The sequence below is a fragment of the Homo sapiens genome, chromosome 17 (assembly GCF_000001405.40).
Source record: "Homo sapiens chromosome 17, GRCh38.p14 Primary Assembly".
Lineage (NCBI taxonomy): Eukaryota > Metazoa > Chordata > Mammalia > Primates > Hominidae > Homo > Homo sapiens.
Window position 1 is genome coordinate 28,769,625 of NC_000017.11, and position 14,475 is coordinate 28,784,099.

General features: G+C 44.0%; 1 protein-coding gene and 1 long non-coding RNA gene across 29 annotated transcripts in view; one reads left to right on the forward strand and one right to left on the reverse strand.

Moving 5' to 3' along the window:
- FAM222B (family with sequence similarity 222 member B) overlaps positions 1–14,475 on the reverse strand; it is a 99,025-nt gene that overhangs the window by 13,645 nt on the left and 70,905 nt on the right. For 2 of the 28 annotated variants that reach the window (NM_001288637.2, NM_001288636.2), the window contains one exon: positions 7,424–7,525. The exons of 24 other annotated variants lie outside the window; for them this stretch is intronic. The gene's annotated coding sequence lies outside the window, so the exon portion shown is untranslated. Of the gene's footprint in view, positions 1–4,090; positions 4,167–7,423; positions 8,153–14,475 lie in introns of those variants that run through there. 2 more of the 28 variants (NM_001288633.2, XM_047436384.1) reach the window with 2 other exon arrangements.
- LOC124903965 (uncharacterized) lies at positions 1,170–13,927 on the forward strand. Its single transcript, XR_007065689.1, has 3 exons — positions 1,170–1,643; positions 2,643–2,755; positions 13,599–13,927. It is a non-coding gene; the product is annotated as an uncharacterized LOC124903965 (long non-coding RNA).

Genomic DNA, 14,475 nt, shown 5'->3' on the forward strand with positions numbered 1-14,475 from the left:
TTAAATATCTCTAATGACTTTCCATCTAAGAATAAAATACAAAATCCTAACATGGACCCCAAGGCCCTCCATGATCTATTACTACTGGTTCTCTGACCTCACCTTCTGACCTACCCTGCCCTCTCTTGCTGACTTACTTCCAGCCACCATGGTCTCACCATGGTTTCCCTGCAGTTCCTTCAACGAGCCAAACACGCTACCGCTTTAGGACTTTGTCCTTACCATTCCCTCTGCCTGGAATGTTCTTGCCCCAGATGTCTACTTATTTTTCTAGCTCCCTCACTTCATTCAGGTTTCTGCTTAAATGTCACTTCTTAAGGGGAGGGCTTCTTTGACCTCCATGTCTAAAACAGTATCCTTATTTCCCTCATTTTTTTCTTTTAAAATCTATCCTGAGACCCTGAACTCAACAATTCCTCCCACACAATTAACCCCAGGCACGTGGCCCTTCCTGTTGTTAACTCCTCTATTTCCCTCACTTTTTACCACCATCATTACCACCTGTTTTACGTCCATCTCTCTCCACCCCACTAGGATATAAACTCAGTAAGAACAGACCCTTGGTTCGTTTTGTTCATTATTATATCTAGAAAAGCATCATCTACTAACACTTACGAGGCTCTCCATAAGTAACTGTTGACCATATAAAAGGCAGATTGTTATTAATTTTTTGAGGTTGTCATTTAATCTACATATGTCAATCTATTAATGATGGCAGAGCCCAGGACTGAAACCTAGATTTGACTTTTCCCAAAGCCTGTGGCTCACTCTTCAACTCCAGGTTCTATCAGTTTCCTTTTTCTTCAGACAGCCTATCAGCCAGGCTGGAGTGCAGCAGTGCCATCTTGGCTCACTGCAACCTCCACCTCCCACGTTCAAGCGATTCTCCTGCCTCAGCCTCCCAAGCAGCTGGGATTACAGGTATGCACCACCATGCCCAGCTAATATTTTTTTTTTTTTTTTTGAGACAGAGTCTTGCTCTCTCACCCAGGCTGGAGTGCGGTGGCGCCTTCTCGGCGGCTACAATGCTCCGCCTCCTGGGTTCCCGCCATTCTCCTGCCTCAGCCTCCAGAGTAGCTGGGACTACAGGCGCCCGCCATCATGCCCGGCTAATTTTTTGTATTTTTAGTAGAGACAGGGTTTCACTGTGTTAGCCAGGATGGTCATGATCTCCTGACCCCGTGATCTGCCCGCCTCAGCCTCCCAAAGTGCTGGGATTACGGCGTGAACCACAGTGTTGGGCCATATCAGTTTCCATTTTGAATAGTACATTCAGAAGGTTCTAAGGGTCACAATGTCTATGATTAAGAGGCAATTATATATATATATGTGTGTGTGTATAAATATGTGTGTGTATATATATGTGTGTGTATATATATATATTTTTTCTTTTTTTTTTTTTAAAGGAGAGGGTGCAATGATGCTCCCTAGCTAGTAAGAGTCCCATCTTGGCCTTCTAAGGGAAAGATAGGTAAATGAAAAGACTGCTAAATCCAAGGTCAGACAGCATATAGAAGGCTTTATAAAAGAACAGGAAAACTCAGAACACTAAATAAGAGAGTGCTTTCTTGGACTCTGCAGTTGGCCTCAATCATCGGATCTGGAATATTACTTTTTACGATTTTGGAAGCCGATACACACCTGTAAGTAATAACTGAGGAAGGTAGAGTATGATTAGTCTTTTTACCTTTCAGTGTGTATCAATGTTAAGTGAACAAGAGCAAAAGGAAAACCATATATTTAGTATTTTGCAACATATATAAAATAACAACACTGGCTGGGCGTGGTGGCTCAAGCCTGTAATCCCAGCACTTTGGGAGGCCGAGGCAGGGGGATCACAAGGTCAGGAGTTTGAGACCAGCCTGGCCAACATAGTGAAACCCCGTCTCTACTCAAAATACAAAAAATTAGTCGGGCGTGGTGATGGGCACCTGTAATCCTAGCTACTCGGGAGGCTGAGGCATGATGATCGCTTGAACCTGGGAGGCAGAGGTTGTCGTGAGCTGAGATTTTGCCACTGCACACCAGCCCGGGAAACAGTGCGAGACTCCGTCTTAACATGAAAAACATGAACAGCCGCTACTATCTGAGGGCAATTTTTTGTCTTTATACTTTGGCATGTATATTATTTCTACAAATAATTTTAAAGGCCAGGTGCGGTGGCTCACGCCTGTAATCTCAGCACTTTGGGAGGCCGAGGTGGGCGGATCACGAGGTCAGGAGATCGAGACTATCCTGGCTAACACAGTGAAACCCTGTCTCTACTAAAAAATACAAAAAATTAGCCAGGTGTTTGGTGGCGGGCACCTGCAGTCCCAGCTACTCAGGAGTCTGAGGCAGGAGAATGGCATGAACCCGGGAGGCGGAGCTTGCAGTGAGCCAAGATGGCGCCACTGAGCTCCAGCCTGGGCAACAGAGCGAGACTATGTCTCAAAATAGTAATAATAATAATTTTAAAATAAGGGGGAAAAAATCACTGATAAACCAAAAACCTCAACCTTAAGAAACGTTCACATCTGTATAGCTAATACTCTGACGATGGGGATACAAAAACACCTTCACTCAGTGGTCTTGCAGATATCATTTTTTTCCCAGTATTTTTTGGAAAGAACCAATCTTTGTCTTTTTTTCTCCTTCTTCAGGGAACTTTATGAATCCAGAAAGAGCCAACGTTTGAATGATTACTGCAATCTCACATCTATTAAATCCTGATACCTGCAACCAAGAGATGAGTAGGAGATGTGGATCCTAAGAGGTGACCTGTAACATACTGCCCCTCAAACCACATCTTTGGATTTCAATAGAAAGAACAGAGAGAGGCCGGTCGCGGTGGCTCATGCCTGTAATCCCAGCACTTTGGGAGGCCGAGGCGGGCGGATCACGAGGTCAAGAGATCGAGACCATCCTGGCTAACACAGTGAAACCCCATCTCTACTAAAAAAAAAATACAAAAAAAAAAAAAAAAGAACAGAGAGAATTAAACCAGCTAGGGCCACACGCGGTGGCTCATGTCTATAATCCCAGCACTTTGGGAGGCCAAGGTGGGCAGATCACAAGGTCAGGAGTTCGAGACCAGCCTGGCCAATATGGTGAAACCCCATCTCTACTAAAAATAGAAAAATTAGCTGGGCATGGCGGTGGGCACCTGTAGTCCCACCTACTCAGGAGGCTGAGGCAGAAGAATCGCTTGAACTGGGGAGGCGGAGGCTGCAGTGAGCCGAGATCGCGCCACTGCACTCCAGCCTCGGCGACAGAGCGAGACTCTGTCTCAAAACAAAACAAAAGAAAAAACAGCTAAACTATGGCAAAGAGGCATTAATGAATTTATTGATAGCAAACAAAGAAGTAAAGATAAGAGGTGAATTCAGCAGACTCCAGAAAGTCAACTTTTGGTTTGGGCAGGAAGGAGTGAACCAGTAAGAAACAGAGCTTGAGGTCCTCCGTGATTACAGTCCCAAGAAGAAACTTCCACAAGTCTAGAATACTCTAGAGCTCTCACTGGCATGAAACGAACTGCTAAGATTACAGTCCATAATTTGTGATCCTTGCTTTAAGAATTCTGGGATCCAGGGCAGGTGCGGTGGCTCATGCCTGTAATCCCCAGCACTTTGGGAGGCCAAGACGGGTGGATTACCTGAGGTCAGGAGTTCAGGACCAGACTGGCCAACGTGGTGAAACCCCATCTCTACTAAAAAAAAATACAAAAAATTAGCCGGGCGTGGTGGTGGGTGCCTGTAATCCCAGCTACTCGATAGGCTGAGACAGAATTGCTTGAACCTGGGAGGTGGAGGTTGCAATGAGCTTAGATCACATCATTGCACTCCAACCTGGGCAATAAGAGTGAAACTCTGTCTCAAAAAAAAAAAAAAAAAAAAAAAGAATTCTGGGATCCAATCAGGCACATTGGCTCACGCCTGTAATCCAAGCACTTTGGGAGGCCAAGGTGGGAGGATCACATTAGGTCAGGAGTTTGAGACCAGCCTGGCCAACATGGCAAAACCCCATCTCTACGAAAAATACAAAATTAGCCGGGCATGGTGGCATGTGCTTGTAATCCCAGCTACTCGAGAGGCTGAGGCAGGAGAATCACCTGGGTCCAGAAGGCGGAGGTTGCAGTGAGCCGAGATCATGCCACTCCACTCCAGCCTGGGCGACACAGCGAGCCTCTGTCTCAAAAAAAAAAAAAGAATTCTGGGATCCATTTGTCATCCTTTCCAGAAGACTTCCTCCAGTACTAAGAAAGTCCACAAGCCCCTTGACCAGTTTCACTGACGTCAAGAATCAGATCCTGCTAGGGTAGAAAAGGTACGGAATGAGCTCAGACTGTGGCAAGGTCATGAGGGTTGTGATGAAACAAGAATGAAACAACCTCTCCCCACAACATATTCTAGAAAGCAGAGATGTCAGAATAAAGGAATCCTCCAGAGGCCTGGCGGCTGAGTGGAGGCATTTTATTTAAAAGCTTCAAACTACCCACACCTTTTGATTACCATCTGGCTTTTTCTATTTTTCTTTTGTTTTCTTTTTTTTTTTTTTCCTGGACAGAATTGACTGGGGTCTGACTTTTTCTTAAATGTAAATTCCAATATAATTTTACAGCTGGTATTTCCAGAATTAGATCCAGAAATCAACACTAGCACTACTCTCTGAAAGTGTTTCAGAATGCAACTCTTAACTGCTGAAGAGAATCAAGTAGTAACCTGGAGCAGGCCAAATGAGTTACAGACATTACAGAGAAAGATCGATCACTTTGGCAGAGCCTCTCTGTGAGCTTTAGCTAGTTTTCCTAACGCCAGCTGGTATGCTACGTTAGCTACCCAAGGCAGGGGGACTATGGTATCACAGTGACCACAGAACTAAGCTTTTCCAACTCTCCTGGGGCACCTGCACAAGTGCTAGCATTTCCCAGACTACCTCTAATTAAGGAACAAACCTTTTTCCCTACTGGAAAATTCAAAAGTGCTTTCATCTCTGCTCCCTGCCCCCGACCAGAAGAGGTTTTATTAGAGTTCTGATGTCACACTCTCTGCTTTCCTGGGTGGCATCTGAAAAAGGACCACCTGTGCCTTCAGGGTAGATTTGTGCCAGTGAGAAAACCTCAGCTTCAGGAATTCATGACCAGCCTGGTCAACCATGGTGAAACCCCGTCTCTACTAAAAATACAAAAATTAGCTGGGCATGGTGGCACACACCTGTAATCCCAGCTACTCAGGAGGCTGAGGCAAGAGAATCGCTTGAACTCGGGAGGTGGAGGGTGCAGTGAGCTGAGATGGCACCACTGCACTCCAGCCAGGGTCACAGGGCGAGACTCCGTCTCAAAATAAATAAATTAAATAAATAAATAAATAAATAAAACAAACAAAAAAAATCTCAGCTGTATTTTTTTTTTTTTTTTTGAGACAGTCTTGCTCTGTTGCCCCGGCTGGAGTGCAGTGGCGCGATCTCAGGTCACTACAACCTCTGCCTCCTGGGTTCAAGCAATTCTCCTGCCTCAGCCTCCTGAGTAGCTGGGATTACAGGTGTGCACCACCATGCCCGACTAATTTTTGTATTTTTAGTACAAACAGGGTTTCACCATGTTGGCCAGGCTGGTCTCCAACTCCCCACCTCGGCCTCCCAAGGTGCTGGGATTACAGACATGGGCCACACCGCCCAGCCTCATGTTTTTTGATGGGAAAAGGAGGAGAAGATAAAGTACTGGCAAAGGCATTTTTCCGTGGGGAATGGGGGATAAAGTGATCTCTAGAGAGCTCACTTCCCAGCATAGCCTCGCCACTCACAATCTAGTGTCTTTCAGTACTTCATTAGTTCTCTTCTGCCTTCCTTTCACTGCCTTCAAAAAAAAAAAAAAACACAGACAAAAAACAACAGCTCCCCTAGCCCCCAAAAACCCAGGGTGGCCAGCCCAGCTTCTGATTCATGCTGTGGCTCAAAAATGAAGTTTACACACTTGAATTAAAAAGTAAAATTGGAGGTCATGCGTGGTGGCTCACACCTGGAATCCCCAGCACTTCGGGAGGCTGAGGTGCGTGGATCACTTGAGGTCAGGAGTTCGTGACCAGCCTGGCCAACATGGTGAAGCTCCGTCTCTACTAAAAATACAAAAATTAGCCGGGCATGGTGGCTCGAGACTATAGTCCCAGCTACTCAGGAGGCTGAAGCAGGAGAATCACTTGAACCCAGGAGATGGAGGTTGCAGTGAGCCGAGATGGCGCCACTACACTCCAGCCTGGGTGACAGAGCAAGACTCCATCTCCAAAAAAAAAAACAAAAACAAAAACAAAAAAACAAAAAAAACAAAAAGAGCCGGGCATGGTGGTGTGCACCTGTAATCCCAGCTACTTGGGAGGCTGAGGCACGAGAGTCGTTTGAACCCAGGAGGCAGAGGTTGCAGTATGCCAAGATCATGCCACTGCACCCCAGCCTGGGCAACAAAGTGAGACTTTGTCTCAAAAAAAAAAAAAGAAAAAAAAAAGCCAGGTGCAGTGGCTCACACCTGTAATCCCAGGAGGCTGAGGCGGGCGTATCATGAGATCAGGAGATCAAGACCATCCTGGCTAACATGGTGAAACCCTGTCCCTACTAAAAATCCAATAACAAAAATTAGCTGGGCATGGTGGCAGGCGCCTATAGTCCCAGCTACTCGGGAGGCTGAGGCAGGAGAATGGTGTGAACCCAGGAAGCAGAGTTGCAATGAGGCGAGATCACGCCACTGCACTCCAGCCTGGGCAACAGAGCGAGACTCCGTCTCAAAAAAAAAAAAAAAAAAAAGTCATTGCCAATATCTGATTCTTCTCATCCATGAGCCAAAGGCTTACCTAAAAAGACTTTTTTTTTTTTTTTTTTTTTTGAGACAGGGTCTCACTCTGTCACTCAGGCTGGAGTACAGTGGCACAAACACGGCTCACTGTAGTCTCAACCTCCCGGGCTCAAGCAATCCTCCTGCTTCAGCCTCGTGTGTAGCTGGGACCAGGGGCATGCCACCACCTGGTTAATTTTTAAAAATTTTTTTGAAGAGATGGGGTCTCACTTTGTTGCCCAGGCTGCTGCTGAACTCCTGCTGAAGCAATCTTCTGGCCTCAAGTGGCCTCCCAAAGTGCTGAGATTACAGGTATGAGCCTCGGTGCCAGCCAAAAGACTCCTTTTGATAATCAAGGGGAAAGTTTTATCCTACACTGCTCCCTATTCCGTTACTCCTGGGTTCCAAGAAATGTAGCTTAAACCTAAGGGAGACACCAAAATGCTGCTCTGGGAAAAATAAGCAGTACCAAAGACTTCAAAAATTACAAGTTTATCAAATCAGACTCTGCAAAATCAGTCATCTTTATGGTCTGTTACAATGAAACAATCCATTCAACAGGTAATTTTGTTAGCCCAAATAACTAAGAATCTCCCAACTAGTACATTTCACTATATGACTGACCTGAATAATGTTTAGCCATTGCTCAAAGGCCTTTTTCTTCTCCATCTTTAACTCAATAGGGGACCGTAAAGTCACTTGCAATTGTGACCTCACAACTCTAGGCTAGAGGAAACAGCAAGGAAGAGAGATGGGTATTTACTCTAGACTTACTCTCCTGAAAATCTAGAAATATATCTGCCACAAACCATCTTCATGCTGCTGAACACATGTGGCTCAAGGCATTTGGAAACCTGCTTCTAAACTATACCCTTAGAACCTGTCACAACAGGTCCTCTTCCCATCCTGTTTCCTGTCCCCACCCTGATTCCCCCAAAGGTACTATTTATACCACTGCTCTCTTTGGCAAGGATACTCTGTCCGGGATCTACTTATTATTACTTAACTCATCTCTGATCCAGAGTTTTCTCTTGAATTCTTTATTATTCAGGTACCAGGGAAGTATTCTCCCTGCATATTCTAACTTTTCAATTTGAGAGTGACCTTCCTAAGACCACAGCCTGTCTCCTAATCATCCTTCCATGTTACAGAGTCAGGGGCAAGATTATTCAGACAATAAATGTTTAATAACTTTTACTGGCTCACATTCCTGAAGGATAGCACATACTTTAATTCCAGGCTCCGAAAATTTGTGGTACATGGATAATACAAGTGTTAACAACTGTGTGTGTATGTGTGTGTGTACAGGTAACTTTACTAGGGGAGTGAGAGGAAAGAGGAGATAAAAATGCCTGGTACTTTTTTTTTTTCTTCAGTTTTTTGAGACAAGGTCTCACTTAGGTGGTCCAGGCTGGAGTGTGGTGGCTTAATCTTGGCTCACTGTAGCCTTGACTTCCTGGGTTCAGGTGATCCTCCAACTTCAGCCTCCTGAGTAGCTGGGACTGCAGGCATGAGCTACCATGCCTGGCTAATTTTTTGTATTTTTAGTAGTGACAGGGTTTCATCATGTTGCCCAGGCTGGACTTTTTTTTTTTTTTTTTTTTTAAGCCTGGGCACTACTTCTGCACTGTATTGAAAAGTATTATTTGGCCTCTGTGTTTTTGCTTTTTTATTTTACTGTAAGTTCTGGGATACATGTGCAGAACGTGCAGGTTTGTTACATAGGTATACATGTGCCATGGTAGTTTGCTGCACCTATCAACCTGTCATCTAGGTTTTAAGTCCCAGATATGCATTAGTATTTGTCCTAATGCTCTCCCTCCCCTTACCCTCCACCCACCGACAGGTCCTGGTATATGATGTTCCCCTATGTCCATGTGTTCTCACTGTTCAGCTCCCACTTATGAGTGAGAACATGCGGTGTTTGGTTTTCTGTTCCTGTGTTAGTTTGCTGAGAATGATGGTTTCCTGCTTCGTTCATGTCCCTGCAAAGGACATGAACTCATTCTTTTTTATGGCTGCAGGCTTCTGTGTTTTAATGTTTTAATTCCTATTAAGTAAAAATGAGTGTTCCCCCCACCCCCGCTTTTTTTTTTTTGAGACAGGGCCTCCTTCTGTCACCCAGACTGGAATATGGTGGTGTGATCTTGGTTCACTGAAACCTCCACCTCCTGGGCTCAGGCAATCCTTGCACCTCAGCTTCCTGAGTAGCTGGGACTACAGGCGCATGTCATCATGCCTAGCTAATTTTTTTTTTGTGTGTGTGTGTGTGTGTATATATATATATATATATATATTTTTTTTTTTTTTTTTTTTTTTTTGGTAGAAGTGGGGTTTTGCCATGTTGCCCAGCCTGGTCTTGAACTCCGAACTCAAGTGATCCACCCACCTCAGCCTCCCAAAGTGCTGGGATTATAGGTGTGAACCACCTCACCAAGCCAATTTTTCATTACGTTATATAATAGACTTGAGGTTTCAAAGCTCTATCAGGACTGGATCGCTGTAACTTGAGCTGAACTACCTTAGAAAGGTAGAGTGACCACTGCATTTAATCACATTCATAATTCTAAGCAGAGTTGTCAGACTGAGTAGAATTTTGCTCATAAGTACCTGGATCTATGCTCAGCAAGGCAATGAAAACATCAAGAGACCAGAAGAATTCTGCCAAACACTTAAGGTAAAACTAGTACCAATTCTTCTCAAACTCTTCCCAAAAATCAAAGACGACGAATACTTCCAGATACACTTCCAAACTCATTTTACGACGTCGGCATTACCCTGATACCAAAGCGAGACAAGGACACTACAAGAAAATTACAGGTCAATATCCCTGATGAACAAATATGCAAAAATCCTCAACAAAATACTAACAAACCAAATTCAACAGCCCATTAAAAGAAGCATTCACCATGATCAAGTGAGATTTATCCCAGGAATACAAGGGTGGTTCAACATAAACAAATCTATAAATGTGATAAACCATACAAGCAAAGTGAAGGGCAAAAACCATATGATCATCACAACAGATGCAAAAAAGCATCTGACAGGCCGGGCGCGGTGGCTCAAGCCTGTAATCCCAGCACTTTGGGAGGCTGAGGCGGGCGGATCATGAGATCAGGAGATCGTGACCATCCTGGCTAACACGGTGAAACCCAGTCTCTACTAAAAATACAAAAAATTAGCCGGGTGTGGTGGCGGGCGCCTGTAGTCCCAGCTACTCTGGAAGCTGAGGCAGGAGAATGGCGTGAACCCCGGAGGCGGAGCTTGCAGTGAGTCGAGATTGCGCCACTGCTCTCTGGCCTGGGCGACAGAGCGAGACTCCGTCTCAAAATAAATAAATAAATAAATAAATAAATAAATAAATAAATAAAGCATCTGACAAAATTCAGCATACTTTCATGAGAAAAACTCAACAAATTGGGTATAAAAGCAATGTACCTCAATACATAAAGGCCATATACGACAAGACTTCAGCTAACATCATACTCAACGGTGGACAGCTGAATGCTTTTCCTCTAAGATCAGGAAAAAGACAAGGACCACTCTAGCCACTTTTTTTTTTTTTGAGATGAAGTCTCGCTCTGTCGCCCAGGCTGGAGTGCAGTGATGCAATCTCAGCTCACTGCAACCTCTGCCTCCCGGGGTTCAAGCGATTCTCCTTCGTCAGCCTCCTGGGTAGGTGGGACTATAGGTGCATGCCACCATGTCCGGCTAATTTTTATATTTTTAGTAGAGACGGGGTTTCACCATACTGGCCAGGATGGTCTCGATCTCCTGACCTCATGATCTATCCGCCTCAGCCCACTCCAGCCACTTTTATTCAACATAGTACTGTAAGTCCCAGACAGAGCAATTAGGCAAGAAAAATAAATAAAAAGACATCTAAATCGGAAAGGAAGTAAAATTTTCTCTGTCTGCAGATGACATGATCTTACATATAGAAAACGCTAAAGACTCCAAAAAACTATTAGAACTAATGAACAAATTCAGTTAAGTAGTAGCATAAGGAAATCAATGTATAAAAATCAGCAGTGTTTCTATGTACTAAGAACAAACTATCCAAAAAAGAAATAAATAAAACAATCTCACAATAACTACCAAAAAAAAAAGGCTTGGGAATAAATTTATTCAAAGAGGTGAAAGACCCATACACTAATAAGTATAAAATATTGAAGAGGATGGGTGCGGTGGCTCATGACAGTAATTCCAGCACTTTGGGAGACTGATGTGGGCAGATCACCTGAGGTCAGTAGTTCGAGACCAGCCTAGCTAACATAGAGAAACCCCATCTCTACTAAATATACACAAATTAGGTGGTCGTGGTGGCAGGCACCTGTAATACCAGCTACTCGGAAGGCTGCAGCAGGAGAATCGCCTGAACTTGGGAGGCGGAGGTTGCAGTGAGCCGAGATCGCACCATTGGACTCCAACCTGGATGACAGGAATGAAACTCCGTCTCAAAAAAAAAACCCAAAGAAACAAAAACAGAGTTCAGAGACAATCTACAGGGAGAGAGAAAATATTTGCAAACCATACATCCAATAAGGGGTTAATATCCAAAATACATAAAGAAATGACTCAACAGCAACAAAACAACCCAATTAAGAAATGGGAATAGAACTCAAAAGACACTGCTCCAAAGACATACAAATGGCCAATAGGTACGTGAAAAAATGCTCAACATTGGTAACTGTCAGAGAAATGCAAGTTAAAACCACAATGAAATTAGCTGGGCATGGTGGCTCACACCTGTAGTCCCAGCTACTCGGGAGACTGAGGTGGGGGGATCACCTGAGTCCACGAAGTCGACGCTGCAGTGAGCCATGATCATGCCACTATACTCCAGCCTGGGTGATGGAAGTGAAACCTTGTCTCAAAAAACAAAAAACCAAAAACAAACAAAAATACCCCACATCAACTCACACCTGTCAGAATGGCTATTAAAATATATATATATATATAAATTGTTGGAGAGGATGTGGAGAAAAGGAACCTTTGTACACTGTTGATGAGAATGTAAATTAGCACAGCTATTAGGAAAAACAGTATGGAGGTTTCTCACAAAACTGGAAACAGAACTACCATATGATCCAGCAATCCCACTACTGGGCATATATACAAGGAAATGAAATCAGCATGTTGAAAAGATACCTGCACTCCCATGTTAACTGCAGCATTATTCACAACAGCCAAGATATGGAATCAGCCTAAGTGTCAGTCTATCAATGGATGAACAGATGAAAGAAAATGTATATAAACACAATGAAAGACTATTCAGTCTTAGAAAGAAATCCTGCCATTTTAAGTAACATGAATGAACCTGCAGGACATTATGTTAAGTGAAATAAGTCTGACACAGAAAGACAAATACTGCATAATTTCACTAGTATGTGGAATCTAAAAAAGTCAAACTCAGAAGCAGAGAGATAATGGGCTGAAGAGGGGTGACTGGGGAGAAGGAAACAAAATTTTAGCTAAGCAAGAGAAACAAGTTCAAGAGATCTACTGTACAACATGGTGACTATAGTTAATAACAATGTTTTGTTTACAGGCATGCCCCATTTCAGTCAACACTAGACTGCACATACAATGGCAGTCCCATAAGATCAAAATATCGAGGGGCCAGGCATGCTGGCTCACACTTGTAATTCCAGCACTTGGGAGCCTGAGATGGTAGGATCACTTGAGACCAGGAATTTGAGACCAGCCAGGACAACACAGAGACCCCATCTCTACAAAAAATAAATAATTAGCTGGGTGTGTTGGCACATGCCTGTGGTCCCAGCTGCTCGGGAGGCTAAGGCAGGAGGATCACTTAGGCTCAGGAGCTCGAGGTTGCAGTGAGTTATGAATGCACCACTGCACTCCAGCCTGGGTGACACAGTGAGACCCTGTCTTAAAAAAATAAATAAATAAAATAAAATCTAATTTAGGGAAATAATCAAAGATGTGAAAAAAGATTTACAGGAAATTCTCTTCACTGCAGTGCTGTTCATAATTATTTAAAAACTGGAAATAATCTAAATGGATTATGGAATCTAAATAACTCCCAAAGGAGGAAAATGGTTACATAAATTTTGTGGTATTCATCTAATAACATTAGCATGAGCCTCCTAATATGTTAATATTGTTAAAGGATATCTAAAGATAAACAAAAATGCTTATAATATGAATGCTGGGTATGTAAATATGGTATAACAAGAATTTTTAAAAATTATATGCACACAAAAATTATGAAGTCACTTGTATTTGATCATCAAATGCATTACAGCATTTGTGGGGATAAATTCTCATTCTTGCTGGGCACAGTGACATATACCTGTAATCCCAGCTACTTGGGAGGCTGCAGTGGGAAGATCACTTGAGCCCAGGAGTTTGTGTCCACTCTGTGCAACTATCAAAACCCTGTCTCTTTAAAAAACGAACAAACTCGGCCGGGCGCGGTGGCTCACGGCTGTAATCCCAGCACTTTGGGAGGCCGAGGCAGGCGGATCACGAGGTCAGGAGATCGAGACCATCCTGGCTAACACAGTGAAACCCTGTTTCTACTAAAAAATACAAAAAATTAGCCGGGTGAGGCGGTGGGTGCCTGTAGCCCCAGCTACTTGGGAGGCTGAGGCAGAAGAATGGTGTCAACCCAGGAGGCGGAGCTTGCAGTGAGCCAAGATCGTGCCACTGCACTCCAGCGTGGGTGACAGAGCGAGACCCTGTCTCAAAAAAAAAAAAAAAAACAAACTCATTCCTAGACTGTCTAGTTTAGGATAACATACAAATTAGTTTCTCCTAATTTGGATTACAGAAACATAAAATTGACAGAGCCAGGAAGTAACCCAGGAAAAAGATGTGGTAGCAAGGACAAGTCATTCTTGGAGAAGTTTTCAAAAGGGGAATATCCACGGGTAAATGTCAACTGAAGCTCAGATCACCTCAAGAAACCTGAGATTAACAAAAAGGCACTACACAGAAGTGGGTAAGAGAACACTGGAAGCACACTGACTAAATTTGAATCCCAGCTCTTTGCATTTACCAGCTGTGTGACCTTGGGAACATAGTTTACCACCATTTATAAAATGTACCCTACCTTCATGAGATTTTTTTTTTTTTTTTTAAACAAAGTCTCGCTCTGTCGCCCAGGCTGGAGTGCAGTGGCAAAATCTTGGCTCACTGCAACCTCCGCTTCCCAGGTTCAAGGGATTCTCCTGCTTCAGCCTCCCTAGCTGGGATTACAGGCACGCACCAGTGCATCCAGCTAATTTTTTGTATCTTTAGTAGAGACAGGGTTTCACCATGTTGGCCAGGCTGGTCTTGAACTCCTGGCCTCAAATGATCCACCTGCCTCGGCCTCCCAAACTGCTAGGATTATAGGTATGAGCCACTGCGCCCAGACTTTTTTGAGGCTGAGTCTCACTCTCTTGCCCTGGCTGTAGTGCAGTGGCACAATCTCGGCTCACTGCAACCTCTTCCTCCTGGGTTCAAGCGATTCTCCTGCCTCAGGCTCCCAAGTAGCTGGGGTTACAGGCTCCTGCCACCACGCCTGGTTAATTTTTTGTATTTTTAGTAGAGATGGGGTTTCACCATGTTGGCCAGGCTGGTCTCGAACTCTTAACCTCAGGTGATCCACCCGCCTCGGCCTCCCAAAGTGCTAGGATTACAGGTGTGAGCCACCACCACACCTG